Source organism: Homo sapiens, chromosome 2 (genome assembly GCF_000001405.40).
Source record: "Homo sapiens chromosome 2, GRCh38.p14 Primary Assembly".
In the NCBI taxonomy this organism is placed as follows: domain Eukaryota; kingdom Metazoa; phylum Chordata; class Mammalia; order Primates; family Hominidae; genus Homo; species Homo sapiens.
The window spans coordinates 75,278,078-75,298,958 of record NC_000002.12 but is presented as its reverse complement, the minus strand read 5'-3'; the positions used below and the strand labels follow the sequence as shown (position 1 = coordinate 75,298,958).

Below are 20,881 nucleotides of genomic sequence, written 5' to 3'. Positions count from 1 at the left end.
AGAGAGATCTTCTCTCTACTCCTCAACTCTACTAAGCATCTTTTCCTTCTCAGGACTTTTGCCCTTGTGTTTCTTTCTGCTTAGAGCACTCTGACTATGGAGGCAGGCATTACTGGATGGTTTGGAGTTAGGCCTTCACTTTATTTGTTCCATTTTGGGAATTGTCTCTTTCAACCCATACTTACTACAGTGTTATCTGATATGTACTCTTAGTACAAAACATAGTATCTGGAAGATTGTCTTATCCAGCACATTCTGATTCCTGATGTTATAGAATGATTGTTTCTCCCAAATGTGTAGGTTGAAGGCTAACTCCCGATGTAGCTGTATTTGGAGAAAGGGCCCTTGAGATAATTCATGTTAAATGAGATCATGTGGGTAAGGGTTTAAATCAAATGTGAATGGTGTCCCTTAAAAAAAAAAAAAAAAAAGGAAGGGACATCAAAGAAAAGACCATATGAGGACATAGCAAGAAGGCAGCTATTTGCAAGCCAAAGGGAGAGACCTCAGGAGAAACCAAAACTGACACCTTGAGCTTGGACTTCCAGCCTCTAGAACTGTAGGAAATAAATTTCTCTCATTTAAGTCACCCAGTCTGTGGTATTTTGTTATGACAGCCTTAGAAGACTAATACACCTGGCTAATATTTTTATTTTTATTCTAGGGTTCTTAGGGTCTAAATGTGTGCATACACTCAGAATAAACCAGTATTATAAAAATTACTCATGGTTAAAAGACATGTTTATAAATATTAAGAATATATGTACCCACAGGAAAAAAAACACTAAAACAGTCCTTATTTCTACATTTCTCTGTGATATTTTCACCACTTTTCTAAAGCTTTCAGCAGGTTGTAGATAGAAGCTTCCACCCACTAATTTGCCAGCTGTTGAAGAGCACCTTCTGTCTTAGTCCATTTTCTGTTGCTATAATAGAATACCACAGACAGAATAGCTTATAAAGAAAGGAAGTTTATTTAGTTTAAAGTTCTGGAGGCTGGAGAGTCCAAGAGCATAGCACTGGCATCTGATGAGGGCCTTCTTGCTGTGTCATAACATGGCACAGGGCATCATATGGCAAGAGGGCAAGAAGAAGAAAGTCAGAGAGAGCCCACTTTTGAAACAAAACTACTCTCTCAATAAGGAACCCACTTCTGTGATAGTGACATTAATTTATTCATGAGAGAAGAATCCTCATTAATCTGTTAAACTATTCATAAGGTAGAGGGATTAAATTTCCAACACATGAACTTTTAGGAGACACATTCATGCCATAGCACTTTTCTACAAGTCAGACACATAGGGATGCTTCTCCTGCTTCTCTGCACCATCTTGCTGCAAACCTGTCGTCATCTCTCCACCAGCTGCCTCCCTCTATTTTTCTTGCTTGCTTTATCCTTCCTTTTCCCTTTTTCTCTATCCCTAAGCTGGCTGGGTGTGGTAGGCTGAATAATGGTCTCCCAAAGATGTTTATACTCAAATTCCCAGAATCTATGAAATGTTTTGTTACATTTAAAAGAAAAGAAGGCTGGGCACGGTGGCTTATGCCTGTAATCCCAGCACTTTAGGAGGCCGAGGCAGGTGGATCACCCGAGGTCAGGAGTTCCAGACCAGCCTGGCCAGCATGGTGAAACCCCGTCGCTACTAAAAATACAAAAATTAGCCAGGTGTGGTGGTGCACGCCTGCAGTCCCAGCTATTCGGGAGGCTGAGACATGAGAATCGCTTGAACTCAGGAGACGGAGGTGGCAGTGAGTGGAGATCGCGCCACTGCACTCCAGCCTGGGGGATAGAGACTCTGTCTCAAAAAAAAAAAAAAAAAAAGGAAAAAGAAAAGAAAAGAACAGAACTTTGCAAGTGTGATTAAATCAAGTATCTTGAGATGAAGAGATTCTGGATTATCTGAATGGGTTCAATGTAACCAGCAGGGTCCTCATAAGAGGGAGGAAGGAGGATAAAAGACAGAAGGCAATGTAATAAATTAAGCACAGAAACAGAAACAGAAGATGCTATGCTGCTGCTTTGGTGATGGAGGAAGAGGCCAAGAATCCAGAAATGTATGTGGCTTCTAGAAAAGCCAAGGAAACAGATTCTCCTCTAGACCCTCCAGAAGGATCCCAATACTGCCAACACATTTTAAACTTCTGACCTTCTGAACTGTAAGATAATAAATTTGCGTTGTCATAAGCCACTATATTTGTGACAGTTTGTTACAGCAGCAATAAGAAGCTAATGCACTAACTCTCTGGGAAGCAGAAGAAAGTGTCTTAATTTGTTCTGCACCCTGCAGTTTGTGAAACAACATGCATACAAATAAGCTTTCTATTTTGATAGGAGTTTTACAGCTAGTAATTAGAGAGAAATCAACCACATATAAAATTTTAATAACCTAGCAGGTATAAGGATGGACTCTATTGGTGTTTCTGTTGACAATGCTTAGCATGAAGAAATAATGCTAGAGTGAAAATTACTAGAAATTACAGAATGCCCAAAGAGTACTGATACTAGTGCTATGTGTTTAGGTGACATAGGTGATAATCTATTAACTTTCTGCTCAATTCATTTCTAGAGTCCCTGATGAGAAAAAAGAAATTAAGACTTTTGAAAAACTGCCAAATGTCAGACCTAAAATCTATGCCAAAGGCAAACTCTAAAATATGTTAATTCCTGTGTAATAAAAAGACTTCCTGAAATAAAAAGTATACTTATTAATTTAGTGATATAACTCTGAAATTTGCTTCAAAATTATCCATGGGAAAGGAGAGAAGTAGAGGAGTATAGGTAGGTAATTCAAAACTTATTCTACTTTTTTTTTATGCTTTTGTATATGTTTGAAATTTTCTTTCCTGTTTTAGCACTATAGGGCAAAGAGCCAGAAAATGCCCATCAGGTAAACAAGTACACACTGTGTTTGCCACAAATTGCTTCTGGGATTGGCTATTAATCCAACTATCAAAATTCAATATTCTGTTCTGTAGGCTTTTACATGTCATCTTATTTAGTAGTCAAAACAGCACTTATTATCACGTAGATGAAGAAACTGATGTTCTAGGTGAGTTATTTTGTCTAAGATCACAAAGGAAGTAACTAATGAGGCTGGGACATAGACCTGGGACTTCTAACTCCAGGTCCTCACCCCTTTTCATTACAGAGCCACTGTTCTAACAAGGTACTGTTAGGTGAAGGAATCCCCAAACCTGATTCTTCTGGAATCTAAATAATGTATATTTCACAGCCAGAGTGTGACTTGTTTGGGATGATCTTTTCAAAAATTATCTTTGGAGCCCTGGGCTTCATATCATCATACTGAAAAGATCCTGTGGATAGAAGGCCAGGGGAGAAGCTTCCCTAATATTTCAAAGACCAAGGGCAAGAGTACAAATGGAGAAACATACATTTTGTTTAAATATGTAAAAGTTATAAACCAATCATTGAATAAAATGTTACTTCTAATCTTGACAAATGTATCTTCATAAAGATAAAAATCAAAAAATATGTATAAAGTTATGGTTTTAATTTAAATGAATCAAATATCAAAAGTGATTACATTTAGTTATTGCTGCATCTGGGTGTCTGTTAATAGTCTGGCAATGTTTGGATAAACAGCAATATTAAGACATACATAATTCAAAATTTACTATGTATATATTTCATTACATTCATTTTTTTTGTCTCCATTCTGGCAAAATCCTGTTCTATTGATAGCAATGATCTGAGAATTTAAAACTGAGACATATATTTGAACTCTAAACATCTGTGTAAATTTTAGTTAAAAATCTTAAAGTAAATGTAAAAAATTAATTAAAACTATATTATATGCTCTCAGATTAAATTTTCTCCTAAAATATAAGAAATACAACTACAACTGGTGAATATCAACTTTTATTTTACTTTTTGAAAATAAATCTTATCAAACATTTTTTACATGAAATCATTCACAATTATCTTATACCATATCCATCTAATTGTCAAAGTAAAAATTTGTGTTATGCACTACAAAAGTTATGTATAGACCTACACATATGAAAATTTAAGTGATGTGAATTATTTGATATTATAAAATATTCCTCAGCTGCCATTTGCAATTGTTGGGATTCCATACTAATTTGTGAGAAACTCTGAAGACATGAAATCAAAGAGCAAAAAAATAGACACTCAGCATTATAGAGAAATTATACTTCGTTGCACAAGAATTCATTGTATGCATGCTATCTGAGAGTAGAGATTTGACAAGTCAAATAATTTATCTTTTCACTTAACTACGCACTTTCACTGCTCCAGTTCTCTTGCACTTCAAAGCCATTTGTGTCCAATATCAACAGCAGCATAACCCATAAACCTTACAGTATTATTGAAACAGTTACTTTGTACTTTGAGCACACAGACCAAGAAATGTACTGAAGCATTTCTTTGGGGCCTGAGTGGTGTTAACCACAGGAGCAAATGCTGAGTTATGGGTAACAATGAACCAGCACTGACTAGTTGTGGCCAAAAGTATTATGTGTTCTTTACCACATTCATTGGTGTTTGTGATAGGTACAGCCTCAGTTTGAGCAGGAGCCCCTATTTTTCAGGAGTTAAGGTGGTACTGGACAGGCAACCCAACTTATATGCCAAGTCAAAGTCCAGATTCTCCCACATTCTTGTGATAAAGCCAATTTGCATCTTTCTCTAAACACTTTGATCTATTTAAATGTTATTTCAATGCTTTGATATAAAAGATAAGCAATTAAGACTTTATAATTACTCCTTTAGTGAAACAACTTGAAAACATTGTACATTATCACAGAGTTCATAAAGTCAGATTTCATGCTTACAAATAACATATCGATTAGGCACAAAGAAGATCCAGGAAAAAGAGAAAAGCTAGACGATAGTTTGAGTGAGAAGTGGCAGAGTTCATACTACTGTTCTCAGGCCCAGTCCTAGTCTCAGCCTTGGCATCCCCACTTCTCCTTATAGCTGCTGGATATTGATCCCTGCCTTGTTGGCTCAGTCCACTTCAGTTCCCAAAATCCATCCTGACCTCAAAGAGAGAGGAAATAAACTGCTCCAACCTCTTGTTTGGATGCATGAACTAGGCCTTGTGCAGCCGAAAGCACATTCTTGCCTCAGGGTCTTTGCACTGGCTATTATCCCTGCCTGCAAAACTCTTTCCCAAGATATTCACAATGCTTCCTTATCATTAAACTCTTTGCTCAAATGTCACCTTCTAAGTGAAGCCTACCCTGACCATCCCATCTAAAATTTCAATATTCCTTCAACACTCACAATCTCTCTGTTTTTTCCATACTAATTATTACTTGCTAATATAAGATAATTTACTTATTTATCATAATTTTTCTTTCTTTCTTTCTGCTGGAATATAAGCAACATAAGAGCAATAAGATTTGCCTTATTTTCTTACTGATGTATCTCCAGAATGTAAAATAGCCTAACAGAGTAGGTGCATGATAAATATTTGTTTAATGAATAATTGAATCCCCAAGTTGTTGGTCTATTGTAAAGAATCAATATGTTAGAGCAACTACTCTTGTTAAGGGGACTTGTAGGCCTAATCTTAGAGGCTACAACGCTATTCTTGCCATCTCCATCTTAAAAATCAGATCCTGAAGCCAATGTGCCTGCTCAAGCCCTACTATAGGTTTAAGATGGCAGTGGGCCTGCTGTAAACAGCTGGTACTGCATTTTTAGCTTTTGACTTCCCCAATTCTGAGGCCTCTGTTCCCCAACTTGACATTGTTTCTTTGAAGCCTTGGTCCCAGTGTCTTTTAGTTAGTATCCCAAGAAGCCTATACACTGCCTCTTCTACTCCATAATGAGTAAGAAACCTGGCTCTAGTCTCTATAATGACACTTTGTGTGGGTGATTAGAGCAGATTTCTATCTATTAGCTGTAGCTTATAATATGACTGAGATATGAGTCATAGCATAGGTTTTGCCAGGAAAGTAGCCATTGTTTTCCATTCTTTATTGTTTCTGATAAGAAGCCAGCCGTGATCTGCATCCATTTTCCACTGTATGTAATACATCATTGTTTCTCTGGTTGCTTTCAAAATTCTTTTTTATCTTTCCATTTTATCTATTTGACTATGATATGTCTTGATGTGATTTTCTTTGCATTTATATTTATTGGGGTTTGTGGGCGCATTTTGGATCTTTAAATTGATGTCCTTCATAAGTTTCATTCAGTGTTTCTTTAAGTATTTTTTCTGCTCAATTTTTTTTATCTCTTCTCTTCCCAGGACTCCAATTGCATACACATTAAGCTACTTGATAAATGGTTTGACAGTTCTCTGAGAGACTGTTCATTTTAATTCCATCATTTTTTCTCTGTTCTTCGGATTAGATCATTTCTATTGATCTATTTTCAAATTCACTGACTCTTGCTATTTTTAATCTACAGTTAAGTCAATAAATTTTTATTTCTATAATTTTATTTTTTTCAGCTCTAGAATTCAAATTTTGTTCTTTAATATAGTTTTTTTCACTATGGATATTCTCCATTTGCTTATTCATTGTACATATATTTTCCTTTAAGTCCTTGACTATATTTATAACAGCTGCATTAAAGTCCTTGTCTGATAATTGCAGCATCTAGACAATATTGGGTCTGGTTTATATTTTTCTCCTCGTCCTCATCTTCCTTCTTCTTGAGTATCACCATCATTTTTGTGTTTCTACATGTCTTATTTTTTAACTGAAAACTGTACATTATGAATATATAGAGTAGATGTTGAGAGCTATGAGGTGTCAAGGTGATCAATTCAGGCAACAGCCAAACTGAAAGCAACAATCAAGCCTTTATTCACTTACTGTGTTAGTCTAAGCAAGAGGCCAAAAAGAGAAGAGTAGTGCCAGTTCTCTCAATGCTCCATTTTTTCCTCATGGAGTGCCACCAGGTGAGGGTCAGATGGATCACTGCAGCTGGGGAACAAAAGGTTCCTGCCATTTTCTGGACTCGGGGGATGGAATGAGAGAAACAGGAAAAAGATACGCATGAAAGACTGAGTCAGAGTGGTGAAAAGTGTCCTCAAGGATAAGGAGGTCTTAGCAGTGGTGCCTGCATGGTATCTAAGCTGAACCCCACCCCACCCTACCCATAAGGAGGCTGCTGAATGGAGGTGCCTTGGCTGGAAATGCAGATATGCACAAGAGCATGGCTAGCTAGGGTTGGTGGAGAGGGTGACTGAGTCCTCCACTTCAGAGTCTTCAGTCTCTGAAGGAGTCTCAACTTCCTTCAGAGATTGCAATGTACTAACTGTGCACCAAGTCTGGCACGGGGAGGGAGGGTAAGTTTTCCCCCTTGCCAGGCTGCCAGGTAAATCTTTGTAATTGTTTATGGTTATACAATTTTGACCTGAAGCCAACTCCTCCATGGAGGCTTTAGATTCTGTTATTTCTCTGGAGCATGATTTGTTTTTTTTCTAGCAGAGAGTTAACTTAGCTAGAGTCAAACTCCAAATGGTCTCCCTTTCCATTGGCAGCAGCTAGAATCTCCACTCAGTTTTTTCAGTTTTCAGCTGCTTCTTTTTGATCAGGCTCTCTTGGGTCCCACACTTATAGTATAGTTTGACAGCTAGCCAAAGCTTTGGGCATATTTTAAATGCATATTTTGGGGCTCAATCCCTCTGAGGAACCCTTCCTTCCAGGATTTCCACTATAGAGTGGGTTGAATGGTAGCCCCCCCCACCCCTGCCAAAATATATTTCTGCATCTTAATCCCTGGAACCTATGAATGTTACCTTCAAAATGAATAAATGAAATGAATGGGGCAAAGATGTGATTAAGAATCTTGAGAGCAGGAATTTATCCTGGATTATCTGGGTGTGCCCTAAATGCAATCACATGTATTCTAATAAGAGAGAGACAGGAAGTGTTGGGACAGAGACACATAAAAGAAGACATACAGAAGAGTAGGAGGCAATGTGACTTTGGAAGCAGAGAGTGTAGTGATAATTTGCAAGCCAAAGAATGCCTAGAGTCACCAGAAATTTGAAAAGGCAAGGAATGGATTTTCCCTAGAGCCTCCAGAGGGAGCACGGCTCTGCTGACTCCCTGATTTCAGGCTGCTGACAGCCAGAACTGTGAGAGAATAAATTTTTGCTATTGCAGTCCACCTAGTTTATAGCCACTTGTTACAGCAGCCGTAGGAAACCAACACACTTTTGAACATTCTGGTTGCTCTAATGCTGTGACCTTTGCCCTCTCACACCTCAGGACAGCACATTTGTGGATTTCTGTGCTCAGAGTAGTGGGTGAATTGGGGAAAGTACTCAGGCAAAAAGCCTCAAACTATAAATCCCTGGGTCCTCTTAATTATGCCCTTAGATTCAGGTTGTTTCAACACAGCTCCTGGGTGAAGGGCTAGGATTGCAAGTTGTAAACACATTTGCTAATCTCACTTTTTACCAGTCTGGAAATAGCATTTCAGTTTACTGGCCATGGGGCAGTGCTCCTAGCATAATGCATGGTAATGCCTCTGGTACCTGAATGAACTTTAAGAAGTATGCTACAGTGCAAAATGATCACTCCATACTGCTTAATACTTTGCTTTCCCTGTTACAAAATCAGGAAAGCAAATTGGTGCTGCCCCATCATGAACCCTGGCTCACTCTTTCTTCCTAGGAGCCCATATGGAGGAGCCCATCAAGGTTATCTGTGAATTTTTCCACATGTGGCAGCAAGGGGGATCATTGCGCTGGAATCTGATTTAATCTGATTATCAGGTACCTCAAACAAATGTAATACATCATTCCTTGGCTTAACATCCTTTTTAAAAAAACTTTTCACACCTTCAGAACAAATTCCAAATTGTATGGCATATAACGTTTTTCATTGGTGGTTTCCAAGCTAAGATTTCACCTTTTTACTGTGTCTCAAACATGCCAGGCTCTTTGATGCCTTTCTTCTTAGCCACATGCCTCAGGATAGTTTTAAGGCTACTCACAAATATTCTGCTTCCCACTCTCCAGGAACATGGAAGAATGACTCTCCCGCCCACTTGAAGTTAGGCGTGGCCATGTGCCTTGTGTTCCCCAGTGGAAGTTGAGTAGAAGTGTTGTGTGTCACTTTTGGAGCCAGTATGTTTTGATATATTTAATTTTGTCTCTGGCATGGTAACAAGCAACTTTGAAGCTTGCTTCCTGAATGACAGTAATACACAATGTGCCTGCAAACCCAGAAAGGGCACACAGTGAAAGAAATAAACCTTTACCATTTTAAGCTGTTAATGTTTATTGGCTGTTTATTACAGAAACAGCTGTAATGTCTTGTTATTCTTAGTGTTACAGGACAGAGAAATATGTTACAGGAAAGGGGTCCCCATCCAGACCCCTAGAGAGGGTTGTTGGATCTCACACAAGAAAGAATTCAGGGCGAGTCCGCAGTGAAAAGTGAAAGCAAGTTCATTAAGAAAGTAAAGGAATAAAAGAATGAGTACTCCATAGACAGCATAGCCGAGGGCTGCTGGTTGCCCATTTTTACGGTTATTTCTTGATGATATGCTAAACATGGGGTGGATTATTCGTGCTCCCCTTTTTCAGACCATATAGGGTAACTTCCTGACGTTGCCATGGCGTTTGCAAACTGTCATGGCACTGGTGGGAGTGTAGCAGTGAGGATGACCAGAGGTCACTATCCTGGCCATCTTGGTTTTGGTAGGATTTAGCCAGCTTCTTTACAGCAACCTGTTTTATCAGCAAGATCTTTATGACCTGTATCTTGTGCCGACCTCCTATCTCATTCTGTGACTTAGAATGCCTTAACTGTCTGGGAATGCAGCCCAGTAGGTTTCAGCCTCATTTTGCCCAGTTCCTATTCAAGATGGAGTTGTTCTGGTTCACATGCCTCTGATACTTGCATGTCTATAAAAGTTCTACTTTTGCAGCATTCAATGGCCAAGTAAAATGGCCTCTCTGGGAAACCTTCTCTAACTCCACTATGCAAGTAGGCACTTCCTTTTCTGTACACCTTGGTTGTTTTTTCTTTTCAAGACCAATATACCTCTACAGTTGATGGTTTTAGGCCAAACCAAGTGTGCCAAAAGAAAGTGAAAATAACTGTTGCTTTTTTTCTACTTACTCTAGGATGAAAAAATGGTCTCTGCATTTATTTCTACTTCACAGAACAGAGTCCCAATTCTGGTAGTCATAACTTTGTGGGCAATTTATCCTCCCCTATAGGAAACCCAGGTTTTAGTAAGATGCTAGGGGGTGAGTGAAATCTTGATTTGAACTTAGAAAACTGTAGTAGTTTAGCTGTTTTCTATCACAATGCTAAGTTGCCTAAATGTCTTTCCAGACATAAAAGAAGTCTTCACAACAATAAGGAGTAACAGTGATAGAAGATCTTGCTCATGATATAATGAGGCCAATTCAGTGTGCAACGGGGCCTCTGCTCCAGGTGTTCAGTCACCATGTGTGGAACTACAGCAAATACTATGAGAAAGAGAGAAATTCTGCCTTTGCCCACTGCGTTTGATGATCTCCTTGCCAGTTGTGGATTGGCAAATGGAAAGGAAGTATCATCAGGAAGGGAGAAATAGAGATACAAAAAGATGAAGTTTCACGGCCAACATCCCACAGGAATTTAATGATCAAGCAATGGCATCATTATTTATTTGTAGATATGATGTGATTTTTAGGGGCAGTCAGAGGCTTTCTCTGTCCACAGTTGCCTTTGTGGTACCTAAAATCCTACCACCGAGGAGTAATTTTCTTTGGATTGTAAAGTCTGTCTGACTTCTAGGGTTCTCCATGGTCATGTAACTATCATGGGAGGAAGTAACAACTTCCTCCATGAGCTAACATGACAATTGTGAAAACAAGGCTCTGTAAAAAAGGAACAAGGCTAGGCATCTGCTGAGAGGGTAAGGACATGAATCATGTCCACTGATTTCTACTTCAATGTTTAACTTCTAGAATACTTAGCTTTGAGAGCCAGATTTAGGAAGAGAAAGGGCAAGAGGTGGCCTATGGAGGGAAGGAGAAGCAGCTAGATATGTAAAATAGCTGATCTGAAATTATCCACTAATTCAAGTTAAGGTACATTAATTTCTCCAGAGGCTGCTGGGATGCTTTGTCTTGGTGCAATGAGCTAAATGAAACTGTTCTGTAATTCATCACTGAAGTTACTGCCTATCACTTTCATTTCTCACAGGTGCCCAGCCATAAGTAAGCAGATTATGCTGCTTGCTATCCACAGGGATGGAGTGTGTTTGTTTCATTGCTATTTAAATGCAGATTTGAATCCAAGCCTATTGGTGATATGATTGCCAAGATCCTCACTGGGAGATTTAATTCTTCAATACATTGGAAGATGTCCAAATTGTCCTGGCTGTGCTGAGCATAGGTGGATGGAAATGGCATGACCAATTAAGGACACCATCAATCAGTCAATTAATAAGCAGTAATTGAACAAATATAGGACACTTGGTTAAGCATTATGGAGAACATAAACATGCTAAGAATTAGTCCCTACCCTGAAATTATTTAGGAAATACTGAAAGTCCACTTTCTGTCTTTCTTTCTTTTCTTTCTTTTTTTTTTTTTTTTTTTGACAGTCTTGCACCGTCGCCTGGGCTGGAGTGCAGTGGCGTGATCTCGGCTCACTGCACCCTCTGCCTCCCAGGTTCAAGCGATTCTCCTGCCTCAGCCTCCTGAGTAGCTGGGATTATAGGTGCGCACCACCACTCCCAGCTAATTTTTTGTATTTTTAGTAGAGACAGGGTTTCACTATGTTGGCCAGACTGGTCTCAAACGCCTGACCTCGTGATCCACCCGCCTTGGCCTCCCAAAGTGCTGAGATTACAGGCGTGAGCCACCAGGCCCACTTAAAGGCCACTTTCAACCCTATTGACTTCCTTCACTCAGCCAGTAGTAGCCAGCACCTGCAGGTTCACTCTGAGTCCATCACAGGCATGTAGGCGTTCCTTTGCCTTAAATGGCTCTGGGAATCATCTTCTGTAGCCAAGCTCCCCAAGCTGTCACTTATGACAGCTGCATGACACTACTGCTGCTGCTAATCTATACATCCAACTCACCCTCTGCCGTAGTTTTCAGGCTTTTGTTTTGTTTGTTTTGTTTTGTTTGTCCTTATTCCTATTATTACTGGCTCTCAGCCCTGAACCCCAGCCCAGTCAGTGAAAGTCCTGATTCCCTCAGCTTCTTTGCCCTCCCACTAAAGAAGGGTTTCTCAAACTTGGCACACCTGATGTTCGGGGCCAGATAATTCTTTGTTGTGAGGCTGTCCTGTGCATTTGGGAGGTTTAACAGCATCCCTAGCCTCTCTACTCACAAGACACCACTAGCAGCCTCCACTCCCACAGTTATGACAATTAAAAGTGTCTTTAGACATTGCCAAATGTCCTTTGGAGGTCAAAATTACCCCCAGTTGAGAACCCTTGCTCTAAATGCTCTTCTACATGTCTCCTTTGACTCAGAAAGACTTCCTTGGGCTGTGAGTCCATGACTGCAGTCATGAACTTCTGACTTTGTACTTTTCTTTCTCCTTCCACTGGTGTTATAAGCCCCATGAAGGCACAGTGCTTGTCTTCCCTATCTCACTTCTAGGTCAATGCTTGACATAGAAAAGACACTTGAGGTTTATTTTTTAAATGCCTGACAGCCCGAGTGCCTCCATCCTGGAATCAAGGGAGAGATGGGGAGATTTAATTCTTCAGTACATTGAAACATGTCCAAGTTGCCCTGGCTGCATTGAGCATAGATGAATGTGAACGGCATGACCATTCAGCCCTGGGGATAGATGCTGGCTAGAATCAGGCTTAGGTTGGCAGCACACTTCACTGTTGACAATTTGGAGAGTTAGCTGTCAGGCCACACCTATCACAAAAGTTGATCTGTCCACCCCACCCCATTCCATCATCACCCCATATAACAGGCTTGCCCACCCTCATCAGTTCATACTAAGAGCCCTTGAGATAGAGCCATGCTTTTCATAGCAAACATAAAATCACAGGAAGGCTCCTAACATTATCAAGCGGCACACAATAAATTCAGACTGAAAAGATGCCTGCTGTTGACTGGGATAATGGTGGAGCATTTGAAACATGAATTAGGCTTTAAAGAAAGGGGTAATTTGAAAAAGTGGAAGTGGGAAGGTAAGGGAATGGTTAATTCCAAATGTTTAATGTGGGGAAAATAATATAAGCACTGCAGAGTTGAGGAAAAATCATGATACACTTTAGACGGCAAATGTTATAAGGAAACAACCCAGGGAGGAAGGAACTAATGAAGAGACTAAGGTATGAAAATACATGGGGCATTTTTCCCTACTAGTGTGACAATCTGCCTATCTGGAGTGACTACCATGTAAAAAAAATAAATGTCCCTTAGAAGAAGAGTCTCCTCTGGCAGAGAGAACCTGGAAAGAGAATATACTTGATCAGGTAATTACTCGCTCAGCCAAATACATTGGCAAACTAATACTAAGGTAATACAGAGAAATAAACAGACAAGAGTATCTGTGAAGTTCTTGACAAAAGATTAATAAGGGGGCATAGCAGGTTGGGCACAGTCCTATGTCAAGAGTGCAGGTTAAGGATCTGACAGCCACATAATGGCTTTGTGATCTTAAGTTCCTTAAGCCTCAGCTCTAAAATGGGGAAAATAGTAACCTTGCATGTATGGGGTGAGGGTTGTATGAGATAAGGGTGTACTGTATACAAGATCATACATTATCAAATGGAGACTATTTTTTAATCTGCCAAATATTAGAGCATCATTGAAAGTTACAATGGACATCACAGTATACTTCTGGCATATAGATGAAGAGACAGATAATAGGACATAGATGAAAACCCATGAATAAGAAATAGTACTAATATATGAAACTGACCTGAACTAAGTAGTGTGTAAACAGAATGCCACTGTATTTTTCACCATCCTCTGGTAAAATGGCTCTCTTTAATCTTCCTTCTATGGCACTGGATGGACCTCAGGCAAATTCCAGAACTTTTCCATTAGTTCAAAATTCTAAAACTTCAATACCATATACCCAAACTTCAGTCTTTTACACAAACTAAAACTTCCCCCCTTTCTAAGCTCTGCTGTGAATCATGTTTTGAGATCAGCAATAGGGAAAGGGACTGTGGTACTTCCTTCATTATTTCTCCCTACCTTGATCTTCTACCCGTCTTCCCCACTGACTCTGCCTTTGGCTTCTCCAGGGTTGCATATTCCCAACTGCAGACCTCCAACTGCAGCTCCCTGTTATGGACAATATCTCCTCAGTGGCCACCAATGACTCCTGTCAAGCCCTGGCTTCCAGCGGCTCTTGCTCCAGGATAACCCAGAGTCCTCACCTGTCTGTCCCATGGGAAACACACACTCTTATCCACTGGAAGTCAGGCTCACTCCCTATGCTGTCAGAACAGACCTCTTTGTAATCTTTGAAAAGCTTTCATCTCCCCTGTGGGTGGGGGATGTCCCAACACTCTGACTTCCTCTGGACCTCTTGGTCCTTAGCTCATTCTTACATAGCCTGGAGGTGATAGGAGGTATCAAGGCAGATTAGTTTCGAGTCATTCTCTCTGCAAGTCCTGCAGAGACAGTCAAGTGACTTGCTTTTGAATGAGGGGATACTTAATACCTATTTTCCCCGGGTTTGAGATCTTAATTAAAAGTCCAAAAAAGAAAACATCCTTTTTACATCCTTTAACATGTGTACTTAGTACATGTGTTTTTTACATCCTTTAACGTGTGTACTTAGTAATGAATGTTTAGGCACAAATAATATGATGTAGTAACATATTGATAGATTATCTGTTGTTAGTCACTGTACAAAGAGCAACACAGCATATATATATATGCATATATATGCAATGTTACACATGCACTGTACAAAAATATACATTATATATGTATATATATGCATATATATATGCAATATTATTCAGCCACAAAAAGAAATGAAGTTCTGATACATGCTAAAATACAGTTGAACCTTGAAGACATCAGGCTGAGGGAAAAACGCCAGTCACAAAAAGACAAATACTGTATAATTCTACTTCTATGAAGTACCTAAAGTAGTGAAATCTAAAGGGACAAAAAGTTAAATGGTGGTTGCCAGGGTGGGGCCAAAGGATAATGGGGAGTTATTGTTCAATGGGTATAGAGTTTCCGTTGCGTATAGTGAAAAGATCTGGAGATGGATGGTGGTCATTGTTGCACAACAATGTGAATGTACTTAATGTCACTGAAACGTACACTTTAAAATGGCTAAAATGATAAATTTTCTGTTATGTATATTTTATGACAATTTTACACACCAAAAAAAAAAAGTAGATGGAGAAATGGCCAGAAAATGGACAACTTTGTGTGAGTGCCTGAGGACAAAGATAGCCTAAAGCAGCAGGCTGCTTGTCTCACCAAACTCTAGAAAGACTCAGGCCCAATTATTAGGGTGAAGCTTAGGACTGAGAGCAGAAGAAATCAACTAAAGTCAAGATCTTTGTGCCCACCCCACTGACAGGCTTTGCCATATTCTGGGTTTTCCTGATGACTTTTCCAGATAGAGTGACAACCCCACAGGTTTGCCTAGGACTGGGGGGCTTTCTGAGACACAGGACTTCCAGTGCTAAACTGGAAGCAATTGCTCATGCTAAGTTTAACATACACCTCTGTCTTCTGTATTTCTTTTAAGTTGAGAGTGGGAAATGAAGGCTGATCAGATTCAGATTTATTTTCGTGGCAAAGCTACTTCTTAGACGGTGTTGGGTTGGCTCATTAGAAGGTACATGGTGTTTCACTGAGTCTTTTTTGAATGGTGTTAGCAGCCACGGAAGCTCAATACCTAGATTCATTTATTTTGCAAAACTGCTATACTGTAACTCTATTATTTTGTCTTTATTTATTAGGTAAAATAATTTTACAGAGAAACATTCCCATAAATTATTTGATCCCATCTTTTTATTTACCGCTTTTAAAAATAATGAGTTGGTTCCCCAGTGTTCTCTAATGTTGACCAATTAGATTTCTTTGATATGCTTATGATCTCATGATTTTAAAAATATCTAATGTGTCTCAATTCATTGCATTTATTTTCCTTTTTACGCTCAATTGTCCCATCTTTGGCTATAAGGGCCTTTTAAAGTGGGCTCCTGAGTCCTTTTGACATGATGCCATTAGTCATTCATAGTTTTTCTTGCTGTCTGTAGGACAATTTGTTCTGGGCCGGGAATCAGCCATTTCTCTAAATAACTCTGGCTGCTTTCAATGGGAAATGGTATTATAAGACTACCATTTGGCTGCTAGGGAAACTTATTGCTACTAGGTCGGTCATTATTTCTAGACTTTTTCAGTAGACAAGGCTAAGATTTATTTTTTTAAAAAAGATAAAATACATGACAAATTTAAAATGATGCTTCAATTTAAATTCAGACTAGAGCTTTTATTTAATCTCTTCTATCGTGCCCTTTCTCCCATGATGAAAATTCTGATTTCAACAACACTGAGGATGATAGAATTTGAATTTCATATAATTACTCATTTGTTTTATGTAGGAATACATACTCTACAACTTAGAATAACAGTATCAATTTGTACAAACAATATGATTACTGAAAACTATTTAAATATATTTTGGAATAGTTTTTGTCTTTGGAGTATAACCCACTACAGTTTTATAGTCATAGTATTGCATTTTAAAATTACTTGGAATAGTTTCCTAATTAGTTTTTTAATACTTTATTCTTAAGTATGAATGGACAGCTTAGGATCACCAGTTATTGCTCTATAGCCTTCAAAATAAAATAAAAAATCTACCAAAAAGACTGACATCAAAAAGGATAGCCATATTTTTCAAAAGCAATAGAAGAGTTTGAAGATACAATTGAGAAAATATTTCAGAAAGTGAGCAAAACCAAAAACAAAAAGATTAGGAGAGAAAAGTTAGAGGATCAACCCAGAAGACTCAATTAGTAGGAACTCCAGAGATCAGAGAGAATAAAGAAGAAAATAAAGAAGAAAAACCGTATTTCTAGGTTGAAAGATCTTGTCAAAATGCCCAGAAGAATGAATGAATGAATGAATGAATGAATGAATGAATGAATGAATGAAAAAACTAATCAAGATACATGATAGTAAAATGTTACTTCAGAGATAGATAAGGAGAAGATGCTAAAAAATTCAGACGAGGCTGGGCGTCGTGGGTCACGCCTGTAATCCCAGCACTTTGGGAGGCCGAGGCAGGTGGATCACCTAAGGTTGGGAGTTCGAGACCAGCCTGACCAACATGGAGAAATCCCATCTCTACTAAAAATACAAAATTAGCTGGGGGTGGTGGCGCATGCCTGTAATCCCAGCTACTTTGGAGGCTGAGGCAGGAGAATCGCTTGAACCTGAGAGGCAGAGGTTGGAGTGAGCCAACGTTGTACCATTGCACTCCAGCCTGGGCAACAAAAGCGAAACTCCGCCTCAAAAAAAATAAATAAGTAACCTCGGAGGAAAAATAGGTGCATAATTAGAATCTGCAATCAGAATCATATCGGACTATTCAAGAGTCACACTGGAAGCTACAAGACTATGGAACAATGCCTTCCAAATCCGGAGGAAAATGTATTCCCAGCTATTATTCTATACTATTCAAATTACAAACAGGTATAAGAGTAGAGTAAGAATAGTATTAGCCCTGACTCAACTGTTCATCCATCATATACTCTTTCTTAGAATGGTATGGAAGATATATTTATTTTAGCAAAATAAAGGATAAGTGAAGAGTAAGTAAGACAGGAATCCAGCAAACAGCAAATCCAACACAGGGAAGAGGAAAAGGAAGGTTCCAAATCAATCAACCAAATTAGAGCAGTAGAATCAAGGGCTCAAAGAAGGAGGTACCAGGGGAAAACATATTTAACTGTAGATTAAAACATATTTAACTGTAGATTATCAGATGTATTTAAGCACTTGGATAATAATATTGACAGATATTTGTCATATCTGTTAAACAGATTTACTTGAGGATTTGGAACATAGTTTCATAAATAAATTTAAAATGAGGCAAGTATTAACTCTAGAAAAAAAAGTAAATGTTGTACTACAAAGCAGCCATAACTATGGCATACTTTTTGGCTCAGCAGCAAATATATGTGTATCGTAGTGTAAATACTGACTTTCCTTGAATAAACTTTTACCTTAGGAATAACTTTAGATTTATAGAACAGTTGTCAATATAGTACAGAGACTATATACCTGTATATAGTCTCTGTATACCTGTATACCCTTCACCCAGATTCCCTGCATTTTAATATCTTCCATAACCATGTGACATTTGTCAATACAGTACTATGTGACACTAGATACCATTTTAATTTTACCAGTTTTTCTATTCCGGGATCCAATGCATGAGTCCACGTTGCATTTAGAAACACTGACTTGTAATTTAACCAAAAATTGCACTTTAACCACTTTAGGAGGATTAAGAAGAAAATGAGGAGGCTGTCTAAAAGAGGCAAAATCTTTGTCTTCATAATAGGATACCATGGCAGATCTCACCTAAAACCCAACCTCAAAAAATGGTCAAAAAATGTTTAGAAGAAACAGCTAAAAAATTGAAAGTAGTTGCTTCTGACACATGAGAATAGGTCCTGAGGAGGGCTTCAGAGAAAGGGACTGCTGTTATTTTGCCACAAATCTTTTAGCACCCTGTGGCTTTTAACTATATGCAGGTATTATTTTTATAAAAGTAAAAGTAAATTCAAATATATAATAAGCAAAATAAAACTAATATTCTTGCTGATTAGAAAACACATTCCAATAGATCAAAAGGCAAAGGTTATGAACAAACCATTTTCATGAGAAAATAACATACTTAATAAAATATTTGTCTGAAAACAAATTCAATCTCTCTAATAATCTAACAAAGGCAAACTTTAAAATGGCAGGTTAACATTTTGCCAATGAAGTTATAAAAGTATAATAAAATAATAATAATATTCAATATTGACTTTTTCATGATAAGGCAAGCACTCACATAGAGATATTGAAATTGGAGATGTGTACTATGGTAGTAGTTTTTTAAAACACTGGATAAAAATGTGTACCAAGAATCTAAAAACTTTTCATGCTCCTTGACTTAGTTAAAATTACTTTTTAATTCTTACCTTTGTGAATATGTGTTAAGGAAATAACCCAAAATATAGACAAATCTTTATTTGTAAAAAAAAAAAAAAAAACCTTTATCATTAAAAAGCAATATTTAAGAAGTACATCTACTAACATTAGAAAATGCTAATATTATGATATTAAGATTTAGAAAAAGGATACAAGTTTGTGCATACAGAGTGATATCAACTATATGAAAGAAATATTGTAGATAAAACATTCAAGGAAATTCATCAATATTGAAGTTAATGGTTATTATCACAAAGTGGTGAGATTGTGGGTGATTTTGATTTTATCCTCATTTATACATACTGAACTGTCTATATTGTTTTATAATAAGAATGTATTGCACTTACTACCCAGAAAAACCTTAAGTGTTAAAGAATGTGAGGTGGGTACAACTGACACAAGGCATGAATTGCCATTTTGGAAATGTGTCTTTGACTCTATCTTTGCTCTGGTGTCCCTGTCCCCATCCTGTTCCCTTCCTAGCACTCTGTCTCTAGCCTCTGGTGCATTGATTTCAAATGTTTCTTTAATTTTTTAAATTCGCCAAACAATTATTCAATACCTACTTGGTCTAATCCTTACAGAGTGTCATGTACTAGGCAACTTGATGAAAAGCAGAAGCAAGCATGATCTCCTCAATCAAGCAGCTTTGAGTCTCATGGGAGATACAGATACAAAATTATTACAGCACAAGGTAATAAATACTATTAAGCTGAACCACATGAAATTGCCACTTTCGAAGGTCGGAAAGAGTCAACCACTGGCAATTTCTTACAGTTATAAATGCTGTGAATGGAGAGAGGTCAGTCAAGTGGCTTTATACCTTCCAGTGGTATTATCTGTGTAGTAGGGAGTTTCTAGTAGCAGAATATCAAGCACTGGGATAGTTGCTAGGTGACATGGAATGATAAGATGCTAGTGAGAAAATCCTTTGATTTTCCTGAGCTGTTATTTGTGACGGACAAACGACTGAATTAGGTTGCTGAAAATTATAGTGAGCTTTCTTAGAGCCAGTTGAGAGTTGTCTGCAGGGAGATAATGGAAACCAGGAGAGTGGGTGTGCTTGGAAAGGGAGATGCCAAGAAAAAGAAGTGAATGCATTATGTAGTTGGTGAAGAGAGACAGACAGAGGAAGCCAGAAAGAGAAACAAAACAGTACAGGTTCTGCAGAATCAAAGGAGAAAAGAACTCCAAGGATGCAGCATGCAGGAGTATTACAGAATGGATAGAGATGTGGACAATTAACAAAGGCTATTGGATCTGTCCATAGGAGAGCATCGGTAACCTGAGACGGGCATGTTTTCTAGGGTGGTCAGAGCAGAAACCTGATTGTGAAGGGTAGGAGTAAGGCAGTGTGCACAGTGGTTTTAACAGCCACGGGCCCTGGGCCCAGAAGGCCCAGGTTTACTTTCTGGTTCCACAGCTAAGAAGCTATGTGACTTTAGGCATGTTACCATCTCCATGCTTCCCTATCCTCATGTACAAAATTAGTAAAATGACAATAGTCCCTTCTGTGACAGATGGCTCTAATGGATGCAGTTCTTCACGATTCCTCATATCCACATCCTCTGTCATGTAACCATGCAGTACTCTCCCACTCTGACTCTGGGCTCAGCCTGTTGACTTTTTTTGACCAATAGAATGAGGTAAAAGTGACACCAAGCCAGTTTTGGCCATGAGAGGGCTTCTGTGCTTCTTTTTGCTTGCTTTCTTGCCCCTCTGCCATCACCTAGGAATATACTCAGACGAGCCTG

The 20,881-nt window shown here is 38.5% G+C and overlaps 2 long non-coding RNA genes across 4 annotated transcripts in view, besides 1 other annotated feature; one reads left to right on the top strand and one right to left on the bottom strand.

Moving 5' to 3' along the window:
* The window catches only part of LOC107985900 (uncharacterized), an 85,220-nt gene that overhangs the window by 9,743 nt on the left and 54,596 nt on the right, over positions 1–20,881 (top strand). For both annotated transcript variants that reach the window (XR_001739546.2, XR_001739545.2), the window contains exon 1: positions 1–19,821. This exon is cut by the window's left edge and continues 9,743 nt beyond it. This is a non-coding gene — a long non-coding RNA (uncharacterized LOC107985900). The remainder of the gene's footprint in view (positions 19,822–20,881) is intronic.
* Positions 11,179–11,228: an enhancer, noted in NCBI's record as "active region_16084". NCBI's record gives its function as "activates an Ori minimal core promoter by ATAC-STARR-seq in GM12878 lymphoblastoid cells {active_cell/tissue: GM12878}" and the evidence as "EXISTENCE:reporter gene assay evidence [ECO:0000049][PMID:35858748]".
* Positions 19,152–20,881, bottom strand: part of TACR1-AS1 (TACR1 antisense RNA 1) — a 125,490-nt gene continuing 123,760 nt past the window's right edge. For both annotated transcript variants that reach the window (NR_168009.1, NR_168010.1), the window contains exon 4: positions 19,152–20,881. This is a non-coding gene — a long non-coding RNA (TACR1 antisense RNA 1).